The 23,274-nt window shown below is 38.7% G+C and overlaps 2 protein-coding genes across 12 annotated transcripts in view; one reads left to right on the top strand and one right to left on the bottom strand.

Moving 5' to 3' along the window:
- On the bottom strand, positions 1-20,728 carry NPY1R (neuropeptide Y receptor Y1). Of its 3 annotated transcripts, none has more exons than XM_005263031.5 (3): positions 20,344-20,728; positions 1,895-2,744; positions 1-1,797 (listed from the first exon to the last, which is right to left on the bottom strand). In XM_005263031.5, exons 2-3 carry the CDS (start codon positions 2,591-2,593, stop codon positions 1,342-1,344), a joined length of 1,155 nt encoding a protein of 384 aa, XP_005263088.1. In that variant the 5' UTR covers positions 2,594-2,744; positions 20,344-20,728; the 3' UTR covers positions 1-1,341. The 3 variants fall into 3 exon arrangements, with proteins under 3 accessions (XP_005263088.1, NP_000900.1, XP_011530312.1); NM_000909.6 differs by lacking the exon at positions 20,344-20,728 and adding an exon at positions 8,521-8,635; XM_011532010.4 differs by lacking the exon at positions 20,344-20,728 and adding an exon at positions 6,739-8,635.
- Positions 19,931-23,274, top strand: part of NPY5R (neuropeptide Y receptor Y5) — an 8,512-nt gene continuing 5,168 nt past the window's right edge. For 6 of the 9 annotated variants that reach the window (XM_011532017.3, XM_005263038.4, XM_017008256.2 and 3 more), the window contains exons 1-2: positions 19,931-20,039; positions 21,753-21,792. The gene's annotated coding sequence lies outside the window, so the exon portion shown is untranslated. Of the gene's footprint in view, positions 20,040-20,140; positions 21,543-21,752; positions 21,793-23,274 lie in introns of those variants that run through there. The other 3 variants (XM_047415745.1, NM_001317091.2, XM_017008255.2) reach the window with 2 other exon arrangements.

The following is a 23,274-nucleotide window of genomic DNA, read 5'->3' on the forward strand; positions in this document are numbered from 1 at the left end:
TCAGAAAAAGCAAAAACAATATTGATTTTAATAAAATGTCCGCCCTTTTAAAATCAAACACATGTAATACTTTATCTGTATAATACATTGAAGTATGTCTTGTTCTTTAAAATATAGTTTCTCCAAATGATTCTGAGGCTCAATCATGATTACAAGATACATGAAATTAGGCACATTAACATGACACAACTATTCAGTAATCTTTACAGTGCATTATTTATAAGACGCCACAAGTCACACAGTTTATACAAGTTAAAATGGGCTATATGAAGTATCTGCAGTTTTTGTGTATTTTTCCCTGCTAGGTAAAGTGAATATTCCTTTAACATTGTACCTTGGTGTTACTTCCTTTGAAAGATGGACATTGAAAGTTAAAAATCAGTCACTATATAGGCACTGCTGTATGGAAAACGCATTTTGTGTTTCTACAAATTGTAAGCGGAAATGCCTTTTGAGTACATATTTATGCCAGAAAGCTTGACAAACACTGAACAGTCTGTAAAAAAAATGGAAAATCTCTTGACCATCAATTCAAATAAATATAATTTAACTATTTGCAGCAATACTAATTTACTTTATTAAATTAATTACTCTAAAATGCTCTTGTTGTCAGGTACCAAAATGGTTTTGAAGTTAGGGAGCTGCTTTCTCTCTTCATTCCTGTGGGTGCCCCAATTCTCCATAATATTTGCAGCTGAGAAGTATGTCTTTTTATTCATTTTTAAATTTTCATTTAAGTGACAATCAGTTGGGAGCAAATTAAATCCTCCCTTAAGGTGAAAAAAAAAAAAAACAAACAAAAACCACCAAAAAACAGAAACCTCAAACCACTTCTGAATGACTTCAGACTATCTTTCGGCTCCTGAATGCTGCTTTTGCATACTGTTACTATTGTAACACACTAAAATGATGCCTATCATAAAGTAAGGATGGCCCAATCTGTTGACAATCTAATCTAATCTAATCTAATCAAGATGACCCAATCTAATGACCGTATTGGATGGCAGGTACTTCTGAAGTCAGTTAATAGTAATACTTTAAAGAAATTTCATTCCAATAAGTACAGTATAAAAGTCTTTATATTATATGCATAAATTCACAAAAAGCACTTCAAAGATGTCTGGTCAAAACTATTTCCAGAAGACCCCAAAGCCCACACCTTTTGTTCCAAATGTAATTATGACAACTACAACAAAAGCAGTAAAAAGCAAGACAAGAAAATCTTAGTCATTTTCAAATGATTTCAACCCCATTCCTTGGGAGAACAGGTAATCAAAGTATGTTGCAGGTTGTGCTTGTTTTTAAACAGATGTCATCCGGGACCATAGGCTATAAGTAGTTTCAGATTTTTTCATTATCATCATTGTTGTTGATTTTTTTAAATGCGACTGGGCTTGCTTGCTTCAAAGAAGTTTTGGAAACATCTGTGTGCATCGTGGACATGGCTATTGTTTCATAATCATCATCCCGAGACCGGAAATCACAAAAGTTGAAGAAGAACTGCAAGTCTCTCTGGAAGTTTTTGTTCAGGAACCCATAAAATATGGGGTTGACACAAGTGGATATCATTGCTGTGAGGTGGCAGAGCAGGAATAACAGATTGTGGTTGCAGGTAGCAATGATCTGATGATTCCAATCAAACACAGTGTTAAAGATGGTAAGAGGGAGCCAGCAGACTGCAAATGCTACCACAATGGAGAGCAGCATGATATTGATTCTTTTGGTTTCACTGGACCTGTACTTATTGTCTCTCATCTTGTCCATCATGTTGTTTCTCCTTTTTAGGCGTATATATATCTATGGAAGAAAAAAGTTTAAATAGAAACACTCATTTGATGAGGAATTCTGTGTAAAGAAGGTAAAAATGGAAATGATAGAAAAAAAGTTTTCTTACCTTGAAGTAGCAAATAAATATAAAACAAAGTGGACCAAAATACTGCAGCACCAAGAGGAGAGTGGTATAAGACAACCTATGAGAGTCCGATGGAAATTGATCAAAGCACACGTATTTGTCTTTGTACGCATCAAGTGTTACATTTTGGAACGGCTCATCAGTCATTACTTGGTAGATCAGGAAAGGCAAAGAAGAAGCCACAGCAAGGACCCAAATCACAGCAATACCTACATAAGCATGTCTATTATTTGGTCTCCACCCTCGAGGGTTGATTATCAGCTGATGTCGTTCCACAGCAATGAGAACCAGAGAGAAAATGGACACAGTGATTGAAACACATTGCACAAAAGGATTCAACTTACACATCGCCTCACCAAAGACCCAGTGGTCCATTAATGTGTAGACAAATGTAAAGGGGAGACACATGATGGCAACAAGCAAGTCTGAGAAGGAAAGGTTCACAATCAGGATGTTGGTAACATTTCTCATCTCCTTTTGTTTCAAGATGATTATGATCAAGGCCAGGTTTCCAGAGACACCAAGAATGATCACAGCTCCATAAGCAAGAGCTAAGGTAAATATCATGGCCAAGGGCAGATGACAATCATCATTTTCAAAAGCCAGAAGCTGGGCATTCTTCTCTGAGAAATTAGAGTGGACTGAATGATTTTCAACCTGGGAAAATAATGTTGAATTCATTTTGATTGGTTTGGTTGTTATAGATTATTTTAGACAAATGGACAGTATGTTTCTTCAAAGCAGGTCAACTGTTCAGCTTATTCTTATTCCCCATATTGGAATCCATTTACCAAAATTATTCTGAATTCTTCATTCCCTTGAACTGAACAATCTGTAAAGAGAAAATGACCAATTGCATTACTAATTTTATTGAGGGCAGTCAAAATGACTTCTGACTCACAGAACTCTTTAAAGTGAAAACACTGAAATAAATAAACAAAATGTAATCTTGTAAACATCTTTCTAAAATAGCAGAAATGGTGAAAACATACTGAATAAAGAAAAAATAAAATTTTTAATTGGACTTGCTTACAGAACAAGTCTTAGTAAAACATAATGGTCTATAAGTTAGTAAGGAATATAAATATTATGCCCCAAGTCTTACATAAACAGTAATAACAGCACATTCCTAAACATTATAAGAATATGAATGTATAAAAACCACTTAATGCACAGATTAAAACATAAGAAAAATAAACAAACAAAGCAAAAGAAAATAAATTACCTAATTCTGCCATATGCTATAGAAATGGAAGAATTAGTGTCAAGGTCAAGTTATAGCAATAGCTCCACCATACATACACTGCACTGCTTTTTAGGGCAGATGTTATTCAGCACAAACATATTCAACAAAAGATGATCACTACAGTGAAACATCAAAAAACTTTGCCATGAATGACTATTGAGAGACTAGACAATGTTTAATCCGGAAAATACTTAGTAGGAATGGTACAGATGTCTTCTTGTATTTTAATGGGTAGCATGTAGAACACAGCGTTGAGCTTAGAATGTTACATCTAATTATATGTACAAGTTAAAAGTAGGACCAAGAGGTGCACATTATTTTTTTAATCACATCATTGTGAGGAACAAAAGTTTAGTAAAATGGAATTATTTGCCTGCAAATCTAGCAAGTGTTCCATATACAAATTTTATAACCACCATATGAAAAACCATTTCAGAGAGTTTCTATATTGTGTGGGAGATTCTAACTTTAAGAGTCTGTTATTTTATTAATATGTTAGAAGCTTTCAAGGATTTCTAAGGTATTATTTATGTAAATATCTTCCCTACCCACCAGACTATATGTGTGCCCAATGCAAGGATCTAGATTTTAATTGTAATTTTGATTTTTCACAGCACTTTGTGATACATTTTTCTCTTATTAACAACACAAATCACAGACTTGTAGAGTTTTAAAAAGTTTGAAATTATTTTAAAAACTCCTTTTCAAAAATAAGTCTGATATTCCCTAGATTACTAAGTAAATATGTGAGACGGAGTTTCTTATGTTAATTAACAGGCCATCATGCTTGTATTAAGAAACTGAATTTCATTCTTTTCTTTCTTAAATAAGACCAATAAAGAAAATCATGCAGAGTTACTTCCATTGAAAGAAAGATAAAAAACTTAATGAACAAGAAATGCATTTGCCTTTTACTTAATGCCTCTAATAAACCTTTCCTTTAATTTTTGTGCTTTCTAGAACATGAGTTTTTTTTTTTTTATTATGAAACCATGATTTGGCCTTAAAAACTTAAGAAGAATAAAGTAAGAGTTGCTACAATGAAGTCAGAATGAAACTATTAAAGAATGGTAATGGAATGATTTCAGGTATGAGTGTTATTAGAAACGTGGCTCTCTCTTCCTCTATGCATCAACCTGTAATGACTCCCTAATACTTATGTGATAACCACACTTTGTCTCTCAAGAATTCCAAAGGCAGAGAGAATGATCAGCGATTGTCAGAGTTTGAAAACAATCTCAAAAGAGCAGTAATAACTTCAAATTATTTGGAAATCTCTTATTTTAAGAATTCAAGAAAATTTAGCATCATATTTCCTATTTAAGTTGCTACAGAGATATTTAACATGACTTATCAATTAATTATAAGTTTCCCTTCATTATTTGAAGTAAAACTAGCAGAGTAGGGAAAAGCTTTTTATCCTTGTCACCAAGTACCAACAGGTGAATGAGGACCCTGGTTTGAGACACATGAGAGACAGAATACTAAGTACATTCCCCAGCCTGACACATTAAGACCTCTGCATTATACCTCTTGTCCACACTTTACTCTAATAATCCCAATGTGAATACACTGCTCTAGGCAGGTGAGTCTGTTCACAGTCTACCAAATATAGCTCTGCGTCTCCACCTCCGCCATTCCTCTTGCTGGGTGTTCTCTCTCTCCCACCACCAATCCAAACTCTACCCATCTTTCAAAGCACCATTTAGTCCCTAGAATCCTTAGTTGGCTCCTCTCATTTTTAATATAACATCTTTGAGGTAGGCATTGTGCATACTTCATAGTACCTTGCAAGTATTAGACTTAGAATAAAACTGTGTTGACTGATATAACTGATGCATGGTTGGAATAGTAGGTTCTTGGGTAAATTAATCCTAACATCAATAGCTCAATTCCATCATAGTCCTTGAACAGGCAAAATGTATGCTAATCACAACAGCCGTACTCCTAGGTCATGTATATAGGGGAAAATGTTACACTTTATATAAAAATATTATTTCTGAAAGAAAATTTATTCATTCAACAAATATTAATTAAACATTTATTTTGTGTTAGGCATGGTTTTACTGGAGATAATGTGACCTTCTCACTGTGTTTCTAGTCTTGTGGGCAGAGAAAGACAAGAAAAAAATTAGTAAAAGATATAGTATGCTAGATGATAATACATATTATGAAGTAAAACAAAGCAAGAAAGAGGGACTGGGGCCGGGCGAGGTGGCTCACACCTGTAATCCCAGCATTTCGGGAGGCCGAGGCGGATCACCTGAAGTCAAGAGTTTGAGATCAGCCTGGCCAACATGGTGAAACCTTGTCTCTACTAAAAATACAAAAATCAGCCAGGCGGAGTGGAGCACACCTGTAGTCCCAGCTACTCGGGAGGCTGTGGCAGGAGAATTGCTTGAACCTGGGAGGCAGAGGTTGCAGTGAGCCAAGTTCAGGCCACCGCACTCCAGCCTGGGTGACAGAGCAAGACTCCGTCTCAAAAAAAAAAAAAGAAAGAGAAACTGGGATTTGGGGGAGCTGCAATTTATTACTTGACTGTAAAAGATGGCCTCTGACTGTCTGAGAAGAAGGCATGTAAGTTAAGACCTGAGAGGAGTGGTGAGTAGGGAAGCTATGCAAGTATCTCAGGGATTGCATCCCATATGGAAAGAACAAAAATCCCTAAGGCCCATGTGTAACTGGTGTGCTAAGTAGCAATAAGAAGTAGGATAAATAAGGGAGGGACTCTTAGGAAATTAATTAGGAAGGCTAAAGAGGGGGGTACAGACTGTAGAGCCTTTTTTTTTTATGGTCTGTGCCTATAATCCTGAGAGAGCTGGGGAGCCTCTGGAGAGTCTTTGGCAAAGGTGTGAAGTTTTATGACTTTTGATTTAAAATTACTATTCTCGCTGCTGTTTTCAACACACTCAAGGAAAGAGAAGAAATGGGGAGATTCATTAGAAAGCTAGTGCAATAATTTTGGCGAGAAATAATAGGGACAGAGACCAAGATGTATACCATGGAGAAAAAGAAACAGAAATATTCTATCCACTGACTGATTTTGGCAAAAATGAATACATATAAGAATTCACACAGACATTAAATTATTGCAAAGTACAGGCTACAAACATAGCTTTCTTACAGATGAGTTCAGGTAAACGTACTGAAGCTCTAGCCTGATACCTTTGAAATTGTATTTAATAGGCATGCCCAATGAGGAAGCATTTTTCTTACTAGGTAGAAGTTAATTTAGCTATAGAGAAAATGAAAAGTTTATTTTTTTAAGGTGTTTTCAAGCCTATTTTACTAAGTGCACATTTGATAGTTATTCCAGTTGTGTAAACCAATTCTGCATTGGATAAATGTGTATTTTCAGTTTACCTTAGTGTAATTTCAAGAAAGAATAACTGTCAGAAAATAACAATACTAAGAGAGAATTTACACACTTTATCTTTGCAAAAGAAAATAATTTGATATTTACTATTCTAATATAATTTGTAAAATAAGCTATGCAACTGCAGAAACTGCAAAAATTAAAGACTGTTAAATCTCAGTGTAGCTGCCATGTGCATATAGAGACAAAACAGACATTACATACATCACCAGTTGGCAAATTAGCCCCCTTGCAGAGGGAAATTTCCTCTTCTTTCTTTCCAATTAGAATGCTGGCCTTTCATTGCTTGCTCTTCGCAGTGCTGTTACTACTTGAAAATACAGCTCCCTGATCATAACCTGCTGCAGATACATTTTTTCAAATACTCAGGATTGGCTGGCTGTTCACCTCACTTGTGTTGGAAAAGAAATGTCAGCCTTGTTACATACAGCCTCCCAAAGTTACTGCTAGCTTATCTAAATGAATTACATAATTCTCTGCTCCTTCCTTGCTGGGGAGGGCTTGTTCAACAGACTGCTGCCTTAAGACAATAAAGACTAATAAAGTAGTAGTCACGGAAGAGCACTCGGTCTAGTCCTGGGTGGGGAACCTGGTCGGGTTAGCTTTCTGCTCCCTCGCTTGCTTCGCCAGAGAGCCGGCCCAGGGTCGAGAACAAACAGCTACTGCTTTTCTGTTCCAGACCTGACAGACAAGCTCCACATGTCCCCTGCCTGTGTGTGCCATCCCGCCCGTCATGCTTTCTCATAGGATGGGGAGTGGGGGAAGCAATGCGTGCTCTGTGTGTGTGTGAGTGTGAGTGTGTGTACATGGAAACACACTCTCTTTTGCTCCTCTCCCCTAGGTTTTTCCTGTGCTCCAGAAGTTATCAAACAACGAAATGGGAAATGGGACATGTTCAGTCAAAATTCCTGTTGGCACGCTTACCCACCCACCTTTTTCATATTGCGTAACTAGGTGAATCGCCCGAAATTTACTCCATTCCTGACTCCCTACTACACACACATACACACACTCTCACTCTCTCTCTCTCTCTCATCAAAAAACCTTTCTACCAGTGATAAGAGACTGGCAAAAGAGAAAAGATATAAACAACCAAAACCAAGCAGATCCCAAACCGAAGTCAATTCTCTCTCTTTGGCCCAACATCAGACCTTAAAACATTCTTATCTCTCCAGTCTACCTGGGAACCAATGGCACACCCTATCAAGACACCTCCACCTCCTGTCCATTCCCAATCTCCTAACCCAGCCACGTTCCATCATTACTTTTCTAAAAGAAAGAGCTAAAGAGTTCCCTGATTAGAACTCCGATGATTAAAAGCTTCGGGTGTCTATCGGGGCGCAGCGCCACACTCGAAGCGCCCGGTACTGCGGAGCGCGGCTCGATTGCAGCCGAGAAGCGCGGAACCCGCAAGTGGGGGTGGGCTTGCGCGCTGGGGTCCGCGCCGAGGGCTACTCCCACCTCCGCCAGCTCCCAGCCCGACACCTGCCGCGGGACCCGTGCGACGCTGGGCGACGCGCCAAGCCCACCCTTCTCCGGCTCATCCCAGCCAGTTACTCCGCGAAAACTCCGGTGCGGCCAGAGCCAGCGCCTCCAGCCAGCTCAAGACACGTAAGGAAAATGAGCGGGTGTGGGATAGGCGAACTCGGGCGCCTTCCCAGTGCCTCGGCCTTTTAAAGAGAACCGGGGTAAAGGAAAACTTGGATCCCCATCCAGAAATTCCCCGGGAGCAGGTGGTGGGAAAGCCCGAACTCCGCGTAGGGTACCCTCTCCTTTCACCCGCGTCGTCCCCATACCCTTCGGCAGGAGCCCGCGAACGGTCCGGTGATTTGGAGCAACCTGCGACCTGCCTGCACTGGAGACCCCACCTTGGTCCCCCAGAGCCAGTTTCGGACACTCGCATCGTTTTTCTTCCCCTCTCATCCTTCACCTTGTCAATGAGAGATTTCGCAGAAGTCTCTGGAAAGGCATAAACTCGCAACTTACCCTCTTTGGAATTTGTCTTTTTCGCTCCTGCTTATTAAAGAAGGAAGGGTGGGAATGGAAGGGAGCAGAGTGGGGAAGATCCGCTGGTATTTCTCCTGCTCAGATCCTAAAGATTGATGAAGCTAGGAAGAGACGCCTCCTTAAAGCCGAACTCCACCTCATCCCGGATCACGTGACGGCGTCCCGCGAGTAGCGCCTGAAGCTCCCCCAACCCCACAAACACCTCACAAAGGTGCACACCTCGGGGAAGCATTGCCTAGGAATTTTGGAAAGAAAAGCAATCCAACAGAAGCCACACATTATTCGACACAGACCTCCCGCGCAGGGGAAAGGAAGCCCTAATCCCCACAGTCCTCGACTCCGGGGAAGGCAGGGCAGTTTCCCGAGGCTTGAAAAAGTCGGTGCCACTGTGCTTTTCTTTGTTTGCAGGTCAGTGCCATCTTGTGGCCGAAGTCATACCCGGCTGGAGAGCTCGAGCGCCAGCCCAAACCAGGAATCAAAGGGCTCGCTGGGAAACATGAAATTCGCCACAATAATGGCACTAATATTTTCTTTTGCTTTCTTTTGTGACGCTCAAATAACTCTCACGCCAGTGCCGAGAATTTGTTTTCCTCACTTTATAAGTGAACAAAGAGAAGACCTTTAAAAAGTCAAAGCAGTCAATCGGCCCTCCTTTCTTTGGCCCACTGAGAAAATGCATTAAGTCAGATTTGTTCCCAGCGCTTAGCTGCTTTTTAGTTTTTTTAGGGGAGAACCATGAGCTGAATATTTCCCTGGTGGTCGAAAAGCGTCAATGCAATTTTCTCGGTGATTAGTACTACAGTACTGAACATTATGAAGAAAAAAATAGAATGTACACCGAGTACGTTGAAGGCGGCCAAACCCATCATGGTGCCCGATGATTCAGGCCAATTACTGGCACACTGATCTTAGATGTTTTACCTGATTCTATTCTAGTTTCAAAAGTCAAAGTTGTAAACACACACATACACACACACACACACAAATTATGTAGACGATGAACTGATGCAAATGAGTAGAACTTCTTCCAAATAAAATTGTTAAAAATAAGAAGTCTTTCTAATAAAGATACAGGGCACTGCCCAGAGAATTTATAAAGATTTCATTAGAAAACAATTCTAATGGCAGTCTTTCTTCTAATTAAAATCAAAATAAAATTCCAAGACAAGTGGACTCATCTGAACTTTATACTGTTAAAAAACGTTTTCTTTTTCTGATTGTTAGGCTGAATAAACATATTTAAGGTTCAGTATAAGCTCATTTATATAGATAGTGATGAACACAATCTCTGGATGTTTTTCCAAGAAAGCTTTCCAAAATATGTGTCACTAGACATATTTTTATATAGTTGGAAAGGCATTGTAATTAAGAATTAAAATGTCATGATTATGTAATGATTGTACTATTAGTGTATAACAACAGATATAAGCATACATATAAAAATCTCTAATGGTTAAGCAGAGTAAAATGACAACAGATTCATTTATACACACACACACATATACACACACATACTTTTTTTTTTAACCAAGGCACAATAATTTTTACCAAGGCACAATTTAGGAATTTCAACTCTTTCAGGGAAGAATAACTAATATTCATTCAGGTTTCTATGCATCCTCTGTCTACTCTATTGCCTTAAGTCACATTCTGTTCTTAGAAGGAAGTTTTCCCCATGGTTTTGATCATCAAATTGGCTATCTTTAGCCTGCTATAAGAATTACAAATGAAGTAATTTAATTCTCTACTAAGAATATATTTTTATGTAGAAACTATTATTATGTCAGCAAATATTTTGGACTTGAGAATATAATTTGGACTCAGGTACTATGCTTTCTCTATTTCCCAAGAATACTAATAAAGGCATGTCTGCCAGAGTTCTGAACTATTATGGCCATTGTATTTTATCATTTTATTAACTCAATTTTTATGAAGTGTTCTCCCTAAGGAAAATTTGTGAAACTGCATTCTTGAGTTATTAATGTCAGATACCAATCTTTGAAAGATCATTGGTCTCAAGGACTCTTTTCTATGACAACTTTATGATACAAAGAGAAGTTCTGAAATACTCAACAGTGGCTGGGGGCGGTGGCTCACGCCTGTAATCCCAGCACTTTTGGAGGCCTAGGCAGGTGGATCATGAGGTCAGGAGTTCGAGACCAGGCTGGCCAACATAGTGAAACCCCGTCTCTACTAAAAATACAAAAATTAGCCAGGTGTGGTGGTGCGCATCTGTAATCCCAGCTACTCAGGAGGCTGAGGCAGGAGAACTGCTTGAACCCAAGAGGCAGAGGTTGCAGTGAGCCGAGATCGCACGACTGCACTCCAGCCTGGGCAACAGAGCAAGACTCTGTTTTGGAAAAAAAAAAAAAAAAAAAAAGAAATGCTCAACAGCAAAATTATATAATTCTTTAGGAATACCATTTACTAGGATTCTTTCCAATGTGAAAAATAGAGAAATTAGACATGGTCCAATGGCCAAACACAACATAAAATTCTCCAATAATGTAATCTTATAGAAGATTTAAAATATGCAAAGTAGTTTGAATTTCTTAGAAAATACTTATTAAAGAGTTTCCTCATTCCAATTTTAAGATCATATATTTTTCTACTCTTCAGTGAATAATCAGCTGCCTACTTTCCTATCTGGGATTCAAACTAGATAAAACTTCATCTTTGCTAGGGAGAATTTTTTCTTTATTTCTGTGTATTTCTTTCTGTAGTTTCATAACAGCCTGACCTATAAACCAAGGGGAATTATGTTAATGACCTAATCTCATGCTCTCTTGAACAACAGTCTTGCTCTGTGATATAAACTGAGGGATAGGATCTACTCATTAAATTTCTGTAAATCTAAGTTTTGTATTCTAAACAATGGAACAAACTTATGGCCTGGCTCAGCCTTTAAATTCCATGATTCAGTAACTGCTTAAATAAAAGTGTGACAGTATGCTTGCTACTGGAATTGAAACACACTAATTACTAGTCTTCTGAGGAATTTCTGCTACAAGAGTTAAAGTTTCTGAAATGCTATCAGGCCTTGATACAGGTAAATTACCATGAATTGTCACTCAGAAGAAACTTAATAGGCATTAATACTACACGAGAAAACTGAAATGTATATGACATTGATAAGGGGGTAATTCCATGGGGGTAGAACTATGATGAAGCACGTCAGTGAATCAGTTCATATTCTATGAATTGATTTTGTGTCAGGATTTTCCTTCTTTCTGTGACTTACCTGCTGCATTTCTTTGGATCTTTGACGCCCAAGAATGTAAAGCACAATTTTATTTTATGGACCACCAAGAAAAAAATGCTTTCAGTAAAGCAATGGCATACCATCAATAGCAAATGAATATTAAAATATTAAAATGCTTTTTAAGCCCACATTTTAAAGCCAATGAAATATAGTTGGTAAAGAGTTTTGACTTAATCAGCACAATCAAATAGTCAGTACAATCATTTTATTCATCTGACTTTTGGAGAGCATTAACTAGCAGAAAAAAAGTGATGATTAATTTAGTTAAAAATGTGAGTATACAAGTGCACAGACAATTCAATGATCTCCTTTGTGCAGAAAACACACAATACTATTTGTGGATTTTCTCTTGATCTTGATTTGAAATGTGAATGCCTTTCAGTAAAGTTCTCATTTTGTTACATGGGCTGCATATTTCGGGGCATTTTTAAAAACTCTGTCACAATAAGGCTCTAGACAAGTAGGATCTTAAAATTTAGTAAATAGCCAAATCTTTTTCTGCATGCCTTATACTTTCAGATACCCTTTAGACATTCAAAAAAAAGTGTAATGTTATATTACAAAACCATAACATTATGTTTTTACTATATGATATAATGAAAGGAGCTTTGCCACTGTTACTATTACTGTTTTTAATAATTATTATTACTATTCCCTTCATATATTCTTTTGAAGAGACAAAATAAAAATAGCTGGCAAAAAGAATAAGTATGAATGCCACCACAACAGCTCTCATCATCTGTGACAAACATCTCTACTTGGTCGTCTTGCCCCTGACTCCCGCTCCCCAAAATCTCAAGCTTGGTATTAGACTTTCTCACAGCACAACACTTCAGATGGCCAATGTCAATAGATCAGACTTTGCCTATGAAGAAAAGCTATGAAGGTATAATTTTTTCTAAAGAAAGGAGAAAGACTGGGTGCAGTGGCTCATGCCTGTAATCTCAGCACTTTGGGAGGTCAAGGCGGGTGGATCACCTGAGGTCAGGAGTTCGAGACCAGCCTGGCCAACAAGGTGAAACCCTGTCTCTACTAAAAATATAAAAATCAGCCAGGCATGGTGGCATGTGCCTGTAATTCCAGCTACTCGGGAGGCTGAAGCAGGAGAATCACTTGAATCTGGGAGGCAGAGGTTGCAGTGAGCTGAGATTGCACCACTGCATTCCAGCCTGGGCAACAGAGTGATACTGCATCTCTAAATAAATAAACAAATAAATAGGAGAAAGTGTTTTTTTTTTGTACACCTACATAATAGCACAAGCAGGTGCATGCAAAAATGGCACGAAATGTTCTGAGGCATCATTTTGCTAAGGTAAGTATCCTCCTTTCATTCCTTTGTTTAAGGTCTAGCTATTGCTTCCTTTCCCCAGATACAAATACATCTAGAAAGAGTACACACATCTAAGGATGGTCAATGGTATAATATGACCCACCTGATCTTATGAGATTGTTTAGCTGCCACTCTCCGCTAGCATAGCATGTAGGTTAAAGCTCAACTGTGCAGATTATTGCAACTACAAATTCAAAACCTTCACTGAGCCTTAAATATTACCCAGAAATGCCTTGGCTTGGGTGATTACCAATCTCTCTCCTTTTAGAAGCTATTTTGAAATTCCACCCCTCTCCCAGCCTCCTACCTCATACCCTCAGTCTCAACGGACTCCTTCTTTTTGGGATAATTAAACGCCATAGGGTATTTACCCCCTAACTTTCAAGTCCCTCCTTTTGGCAATAGTTCTCCAACCCAGCTGTTTCAACCCCAGGCTTTGAGTCAGCCTGTCCCGCTGAGGTTTCCCAGCCGAGGCCCCAAGCACCATGTGACAGACAAGCCATCTCACTCTGCTCCTCTGAGGTGCTGTCCCACCACGCAGTCCATAAGCATAAAATCCATGAGTTGTATTCCACTAAGTTTGAGGAAGGTTTATTAAACAACAATAAAATAACTATAATACCTGTTTAGTCAAAAATTCACTTTTCTTAGCTTAGGACTAAAATAAAGACCAAAACAAAATTGCTCATCTCTTTCTCATAGTAACTCCCTTACTGGAGTCACATCTTCCCTAGCTGCTTCTCTTTCCTGGCAAGCTTCTTTGAGGATAAGGTACATATACAGTCACCTCATTTTTTCCTCAAATATGACCCACCTGAAACTGTTTCTGCCCAGGACACTAATGATCAAAGCCAATGAACACAATTCAGACTTGCTTGTATTTGTTCTTTATGTAGCAATGGACTCAACTGAGCATCCACTGTTTCTGGAATCTTTTTTTCCTTTGACTTCACCAACTCCACACTTCAGGCTTTTCTTCATTGGCTGTTGCTCAGTCATCTCTCCCAAGATCTACTATTTCCATCTACTTCTTAGGCTTTTTTTTCCCCCTAGGATCCTGTTATGTAGATGGGTGAGAGATGGCCCATGGGTGATGGCCTAAAATGGTCCCCATACTGTTTGCTTCTTCACAGCAGGATAAGGCCCTTAGCCCAAAGCCTGCCAGCACCACCTCAAAATCTCACGCATCTAATTGCTCTAAATATAGTCAAAAATAAATTAATTTTAGCCCATTTAGAGCCTACCTTCTTAAATGCCCCATGAAACTCCACCCAACATCTGCTAACGATACATAAGACAAATCTTGTAGCTGTGAAAGACACCAAACCACAGCTCCCTTCAGAGGACTCTGACCCAGAGGCTCCCCCGTTTGTTGCTGAGTGACATCACCCACACATGTAAGTCTCCTCTCTACTTTCCCCTTCTGCCCCTTCTAGGTGGTACCCCACATCATTGTCTCTAGAAGTTCTCTTGCTAGGAGGGACTACTCCTGTCATGCAACCTCCTGCAAGTGCCACCCAAATAAACTTGTGCTTTTAGTGGTCTTGTTTCTTCCTTGACCAACCCCCAAATTACCAGAATCCACCAGAGATCCCAATCTTAATCTTCTCCTTTTTTCATTCTTAACACACAAATACACCCTCTGCTATCAACTACATGCTTGCATGTACCCAACCCTCAATCTTTACCAAAAGTACAGATCCCTCTCAGGTTTCCTTGGACATTGTGCTTCTCTGCTTATGGACCTGATCAGTAGCATCATTCTTCTCCCTCAAGCCAGAACCTAAGAATTGTCCCATGTATTCCCGTCTCTCACTCTCACTCACAAATCCAACTGGTCTCAGATTGCCACTGATTTTATCTCCTAAGTATCTCTCACGTGTGTTCTTTCACCTCTATCAAGCTCTACTTATTTCTTTTCTAAATGGTCTAAATCCATCAGTTTCTTTCACAGCCATCCAGTCATACAGCTTCCCAGTTTAAATCTTTTAGCTGCTTTCCATCCAGGTGTCTCAAGTGAAGGGCCAAAGACATCCTTTTTAATCAACATTTTCAGTATCATCCTCTACCCTATACACTGCAGTCATACGAAACCATTTACATGATTCTGAATGCCTCATACTCTCTCACCTTCATGCTATTACAACACTTCTCGATTCTCCATCCCCTCCATCTGCCTGTTTAACTCTTACCAACCCTTTACATTTCAGTTCAAGTGTCTTCTCAGGTATAAAGCCCTCTGTTACATCCCCAGTTTATTTTTAAGAATGAATTACCCAGGAATATAAATAAGAAATAAACCTAGAGTTTATTTCAATTGCAGAACTTATCACATTGTATTGCCATTAATTATGTAGCTGCACATATCTACAACTATACTCTGATTTCTTACTGACAGTGACTGTTTTTTTTTCATCTCTTAAACTTAGGAGCCTGGAAGGGCATCTAACACATTATAAGATACTGAAGAAGTTTTGTTGAAAGATTGAAAAACTAGGAATAGGGTAGGACTACAAAAATTTTTGAATATCACAAATCAAGCCCATTTGTTCATCTCAAACATTAAAAAAGTGTCTTCAGCATTTGCAGCTATGATGGATGATTGCTACTTTATGCATATACATTTTATGCATAGTCTGCTTACTAATACACTCCTTCTGATGATCTGCCTCATATTTTTGGATATTCTTATGTGTTAGCTCTGCCTCCTCTATTAGGTATAAACTTGAATATGGACCCTACTTCCTTTGAAAATGCTTATAATGTCTACTTGAGGAACGGTCTCATATTTTTTTCTACCTGTTCAATAACATATTTTAATAGCTGTATTACGTGTGAGAATAAGACTAAGAATGTGGTAACATACATTTTAAAAGGCATATCATTCAACTTTTGGTCCTGAGCTTATGCTTTGAACAGTTCTGTAAACATTCTTTTTAAAGATTAAAACAAACCAATATACCAAATATAAACAAACCGTTTCCCTTTCATTTCCACTTAAATATAGTAAAGCTATATTTAGACTTATAATTAGATTTAAAATATTAACTACAAAAAATAGATAGGAAATGGAAACATTTTTAAAAATATTACAGGATACTTATCTTTTCTCAGAGGAGTTTTAAACTACAAAAGGAAATAATTGTATGGCCTATATATGGATTGACATAATAAAATGTTATATTTTCAAAGGAATCCATGCTCTCTTCTTGTACATATATATATATATATATTTGTGCTGCAAAACTGAAAAACAATGTAATTAAAGAATGAAGTACTGATATGTAAGACAGCCATAACTTTTTGAAATGAATACATGAAATATAGTTAATACTAGCTGCAGAGAAGAGAATGTGCCAATAATAATGGAAAACTTTAGCATCAGTATTTTCTTTGTAAATTTTAATATAGAGGGAAAATAAACAATGCCTATGGCTATCAAATTTTTCTGAAGATCTAAAAATATGATTTTTCTACACATATGTTTGTAATGCATGCTAATTAATGGCATAAAGTCATAAGTAGTCAGGTCTCAAAGGGGACTCCAGATCTTCGATTCAAAATATTTCATTTTATAAAGAAAACGAAGACTGAAAAATCAAGTGCCTATCTAAAGCCACACCATTAATTTGAGATCAAGCCTGGCTACAACTCAGGTGTTCTGATAAGTGTCTATTATAAAAATATGTATGTAATACATGAACATATAAAATACATCTGTATCATATCTATGTGTGTATGTATTTTTAACATGAGTATTTGCTAGTAAAAATAATTATACATTCTCTCTGAAAGTCAGTCACTGTTTTATGGTATAATCATTAGGGCATCAAAAGGATAAATAAAGTGTTGCTTAAGGAGCACAGTGTTTATCAGAAGTCAATACAATGTTAATGATGCCCCCGTAGGACCTCACAATTATCGTTAAGTTGCCTGGGAAATGGACTCAATGCACACAATACTTTGGGCTAAACTTCTTTTCAATAGCTTTTGGGTTTTTTTTTTGTTCAAAAAAAAATCATGTATTTCATAATAAGAAGTTGGCTCCTCATTTGAAGTCCTAAATATTGATTTATGTGACAAATTATTACTATTCCAAAGAAATCAATGCAGCATAGAGCATCATAAAATATTTTTGATAACACATCTTTTAAGTATTAAGGATTTAAATTTACCGTGATAGAAAAAGTGGATGAAGAAACATTTACCCTTAAGGAATACAACGAAATTCTCAGAGAAATAAATGCATAAAGTAAAATAATACTGTTTTCTCTAGTTTATTTACCTCTACTTGTTCTATAACTAATATATCAAAGTCAAATATCATTTGAGATTATACCAAAACACTTTAGTAATTGCTTTCCACAAATAGTAGCTGTTATTAAAATGCAGCAGTAGCTTTGACAAGAACCACAGCCATGTTCCTCAGCAAAATACTACCCCAGGAATTGTTGGGTGACTGTTTTATCGTTCAATAATTTGTCTTAGGAGTCCCAAGTCACCTTTAACTTTTACCTTTACAGATAAGCTTTCTTTCATAACTGATAATGAACTGTAATAACAGGGCAATAGCCAGTTTAATTTTGTAACATGCATAAAATCCAACTTAATTTCCCAAATGAGCATTTTATAAATAGTGAGTAGGAAAAATACATAAAACAGAGGTGGACATTACTACTTCTGTTCTGGTATTCCCCTTCGCTAAGATGTTACTCCATAAAATAAAAATAAAATTATTATGTTCTACAAAGAGTAATGATGATCAGTCTCAAATCCCCCCTGGGAAATTTAAAGGTAAAAACACACTTATCTTCATATCTTCCTCTTTATGTAGCATATTGCTTAAATTTGTAAATTTATAATTTCCTCAAAAAAACTCTTAATAACTTGTCCACTCCAAGTGTTCTTAATACTGTGTATTGTCACGTGTATTTAAAGAAGAAATGCCAACTCCTGTTTTTGAGACTTGCTTGTTTGTGGGTGCAGTGGGAAGGGAAAATAGCCAGGTTAATTAGAATCTTTGTATCAGTGGCAGGTAGCCTTTTATTTTCAATACTCTAATAACAGTGACTTCAACCTAAAGGTTCATATCATCAAAATAGAAAACAAATTTGTGGAAAATAAAAAATAAGATTTTTTAATACTTTTAATATGCAAAAGCCTGTAGCATAGACTAGTGTTTTGAAAGTCACAATGGGGTTCACTTGGAATTTGTTTTAAAGACAATGTGTATTTGAAGTGTACATGTTATGACTGTGCAAGAGATGGAAAGATAGAAATTTATGTGGCAATGTGTACTGCATTAACCGCAGAGACAGTGGAGTTAAGAAAGTCTAAAAAACAAGCCTTATTTTCTCAAGGTCATCCCTTCTTGACACTTTCATCCCCTACTCCTTACTGCAGAATCCCAGGTGCCTGCTCAGACGGCCTATTCTGTTAAGCTTTTGGGGAGAATATATTAATATTTCAGAAATAACACACAGAAGAATAAAACAGGAACTGTGTTTACTTGAGTTCTTTAAAAGCTCTTGGATGACTCTTTGACTGATGAAATAGCAATCTATACAGATCCCCTGAGTATTGAATGCTGAAATCCAGCAGAAAGGGGACACAAAAAATTTTCTTTGACCTCTTCTGTAACAGTGATGTCTGCCCCAGATGTTAGAATTACAAGTCACATTGCTCCCAAGGGGTACAGTTCTCTTCGGTTTATCCCACACGACTCTACTCAGCAGGAGATGCTGTCTGTTACATAATAGTTCTCAGTATTAAAGGGTACAATAACTACACCCTTTCTCATGGTAAAGCTATGTCCAAAGACACATGGACATCTACCCAATGTCTCTTTTCTCCCTTCTCTCCTTCTCTCTCTCTCTCTCTCTCACAGACACACACACACACACACACACACACACACACACACACGCGCGCGCGCCTAAAGTACCTGCCACCTAATGATTAGCTAAAAATAAAGCAAACCTGCGCAATACAGATTTGGAAACATTAGGGATGGAAATCATGTTGGGAAGGAACAGAAGGACAGGTTTTCTCTTCTTCTTTTGTGTGGGCTTTTTTCCCGTCTTTTTTTTTTTTTAACCTGTGACAATTCGTTTTTAGCCCTTCGTCTTCTCTTTGCTATTGAATATAGTCTTGAGCAGCGTTGATTTCATTTCAGCTTCACTCCCCTGCTCCTGCCACTTGCCCACACCCACAGCTGCCACTCCTTGGAGTGGGGAAACTTCCCTTCTATTCTGCTGGGCTCATTACCGCAGACGCTGTTGCCTCTCCTGAACATTGGGTCAGCCTCCCCACCTCCACTCTTCCTTACTTCAAAGAGGTGCAAAGGAAGAGCAGTGTTTTGTCTTTTTTCTTTCTTTCTTTCTATCACCACACCACCCCCCACCGTCCCCCACCCCAAACAAAGATAAAACCTGAGAGTCGAAGCTTGTTCTCAGGAATACTAAGAACTTAGGGGCACAGCCATCCTCACACCAGTCCAAGACTTCTCAGAGTTCACTACACAGGGTTGAGGGCTGGACCGGCAAAACTCGATTTGCCCATCAAGTTAACTTGGTCGGCCTGGGACCCGAGGCCAGGGTGAAGGGACGACATCCCGGGGCCCTGTGGCTTCTCCCTAGAGCGCCCAAACAGCGGCGTAGGTCTGGGACGCCCCCGGCCCCCGGCTTTGGAAGAGGCTGGCGCGGAGCAGGCGCCTTGGAGCAGGGTCTCGGGGGTCCCCGGAACAGTCACGTGTTCTCGAGACGCCGTTAAACCCCCGCCCCCTCTTCCCCACCGCCGCCTCCAGGTCCTGCTCCCGCTGCTGCCGCCACCGCCGGGGTGCAGGAGCGATCGCGCTGGGCCGCGCTCCCGGGAGCCCAGGGCCTGCAGCGGCCGGGGCGCCCCGAGGTACGGGCTCCCGCCCCTCCCTGCCAACCCCTTTCGCGCCGGGTAGGCCTGCACCGAGGGGCCGTGGCGGGTCCCCGCGCGGGCTGCGAGTCTGCGCAGGTCCCTGGGAGCCCGCACCCGTCTCTGGTGCCAGGGCGTTGTCGGGGGTCCCAAGAGAGCGGGGTGGGGAAGGTGAAGGGAGCGCGGCTGGAAAAATGGGGATTAGGGTGGCGGAACAGGCACTTGTCAGGAGTGAAGAGACAGCGGAGAGGGTACTGGGCTGAATTCTTTCGTGCCGAGCAGGTCCCTCCGGTTCCCAACTCACCCGGGTGGAGCAGGCGCGGGCCGAACCCGGGAGGAGAGTGTCGGGGATCCGCGAAGGAGCCTCCTGGGGATGGGGCGGGGGATGGACAAAGCGCTGCCCCCGGCTGGACGCGCTCTGGCTGCAGCCCGGCTGGCATCCGGAGCTGGGAACAGCAGCCCGCGGGGTGCCCGGGTCAGGGCTCAACCCTAGCGGGTCTCTGGCGAGGCCGGGGGCGCAGCCCGCGGGGCGCCACTCAGGCCGTCCAGCTGCCGCGCGGTCCAGCGCTGACCCGAGCCCGGGAGGCAGCTGCGCTCTAAGGTTTGCGCTCCTGTTTGCGAGGTGTCTTCATATAACAAATGCGAGCAATAACAAACATCCATAGAACTCGAATTCCAGAAACGGGAATTCTTTTTTCCAAGTTCACAGACCTTTAGTTAATCTTTTAAAGGAACTGAGGCGTTGTGTTGGACCAAAGCCAAAACGATTTTACCTTAGACCATGGAAAATAGCCTAAGGCTCTTTCAGCAGAATTTTGCAGTCCGAATGCAATTTTAGATTTCAGATTTCTCAAGGGAAGAGAAACTCTGCTGTTAGAATTTGGAAGGGAGGGTGGTGCATGCCTGTGTGTTTGTCAGCTGAGCAGAGCTGTATTTATCTTTCCAATTCAAATTGTGCCAGATTCTGGCTTTAAGAACAAACCATGGGAATATTTGAGAACATGGAATCATGCTGCTGTTCCACGATCACAGCAAAACAGACAATAGTTGATATTGTATCATTGCAGGAGGAAAAAGAATTACATATATTTTATTCTTTTGTGTGATTGTCATCCTTTGTGAAAAGAATGATGTGTATTTTCATAAAGCAAAAAATTATTCAAACAAAGAAACCTTATTTAAATGTACAAGTCAGACTTTTAATATCCTTTGAATTCCCTGCAGTTCCTCCTATTATTCTTGAGAACTATCTACTTTCTTAAAATACTTAAAATCTATTCAGAAGGTTTCATTTGTCTAGGTGTCAGATATAGAAGAGTTTATAAGAAAATTCCAGTAAACCTTTAAAAAGATATTATTTTTTATAAGTTGCCATAGTTTAATAAAGAACTTTTATTTTTCACACTTTTTACTCAGAGATTAAAGTTCTGTGTTTCAGCCTGGAAATTCTGATGGTGGGAGATACAACTAATACAAAAGAGAATGAGTAAATATAGTAATTAGGTATGACAAAAGTCTCATGCTGTCAATATCAGATTTCTTGTCAAATAATATTCCATGTTAAAATATTTTTTCTCTGGCTATATTTCATAATTTATATAGCAATTTCAGAAGATTCACATATATCATTACTTTTATAATAGATAAAATATGTTGCATAAAAATGTACAGCACTCGTAATAACACTTGTTGAAATTTGGATTTCCATTGTAGGTCTGCTCATTGTGTTTTTCAGGAAAAAGGAAGGGAAAGGGTAAGTTTAATGGAAAAAATCCTGCTTTTTTGTTTGTTTTTTCATTTTAAGTGCGTTCCTGTACCTTAGATTTTCAACTTAAATCTTATTGTACAAAATTTTCCTAATGTTTAAACTATCCCCTGGCTACCAGGAGGCACTTTTAAAAAAACTACACGTCCACCACCACCCCTCCCCCACCCCCCCTCCCTGCCTCCAGCATTTGCAATATTCATTATTTAGTCGTAAGAAGAAATTCTTCCTTCATTGGAGCAAAGATTCACAGAATGTTCATTCTGTGCAGACTATATATTAGATATTACATGTGTGTATGTTTATGTGGTAGATGGTGTGGGGTGGGGCTAGAGGGAGAGCAGGAGAAAGTTGACTACAGTCACACCAAAATAAAATGAATAAATGAATGTTGAATGAATGAATGCTAAGAGAGAATTTTTTAAATTTGCTTATCAATCTATCAGTAGCTACATAAAGTATTCATTATATTCAGCAGTAATGCATGTGTCCATGCTATAGAGAAATAATATATTACTATCAGTCAGGAGAATGCCATTCATTTATTAATTCATTCATCATCCAATTTGGGGCCTTTTATATCTCAGCAATCTACAGTTACTCAGGGTGTGAGCTTGAATTAATCTATATAGAATATTCTTGGCATAGCACCTTGCATTAGTCGTCTTTATGCTTAGAGCAGAGCAGAGCACCTAGCAGAATATATGTTCAATAAATACTTTTTGAATGAATAAAAGAAGGAACAACTAATCATTCTTAGCTGTTCATTAATAGAAGGAGCCTACCCTTTAAAATTATATATAAATTATCTACTTTCTTAAAATACTCAAATGTTTTAAGGAATGAAAGAAGCATCCTCAGTTTTTTCTCCAGTGTCCAATGAATACTCAAGATGGCATTTATTTCATCTTCTTACTAAGGAGATGTGGTTTTACAATTTAATGCATTCAATATTTTATGTGCATATATTTAAAATAAAAGTTTTAATAACAGACTGCACAGTCGTGGAAATGGATATACTTCTTTTTTCATTTACATTTTTTAAATGTTGTAAATATATCTTACAGTTTTAGTTGCATGTTGCTTGTGTGATAGCCTTTATCAATGAAGTTATCCAAATTTAAAGTGCTAAACTATCTTTATTGTCTGTCTAGGTATCTCCTCCTCATTGCATTTTGGGGCCATTTGAAACATCTATAATTTCAATGGTTCTCTATAAATGTATATATAAAGATACATATACACACATATATATGTACACACAAAAATATAGTCATACTCTATCCTGAATTTTCCCACATTGCCAGAATGATTCATTTCTGTTATTTTAAAGCAAGGGAAATTAAACTGCTTTTCTAAAACGATTGGTAAGAAATATTTACTTAGCATCCACTATGTGTAATATGCTTTATTAAACATCATTTCTAGAATGAAAATAATTAAGAGTTTTATCTCCATTCGAATATAATA

The sequence above is a fragment of the Homo sapiens genome, chromosome 4, assembly GCF_000001405.40.
Source record: "Homo sapiens chromosome 4, GRCh38.p14 Primary Assembly".
Classification (NCBI taxonomy): Eukaryota; Metazoa; Chordata; class Mammalia; order Primates; family Hominidae; genus Homo; species Homo sapiens.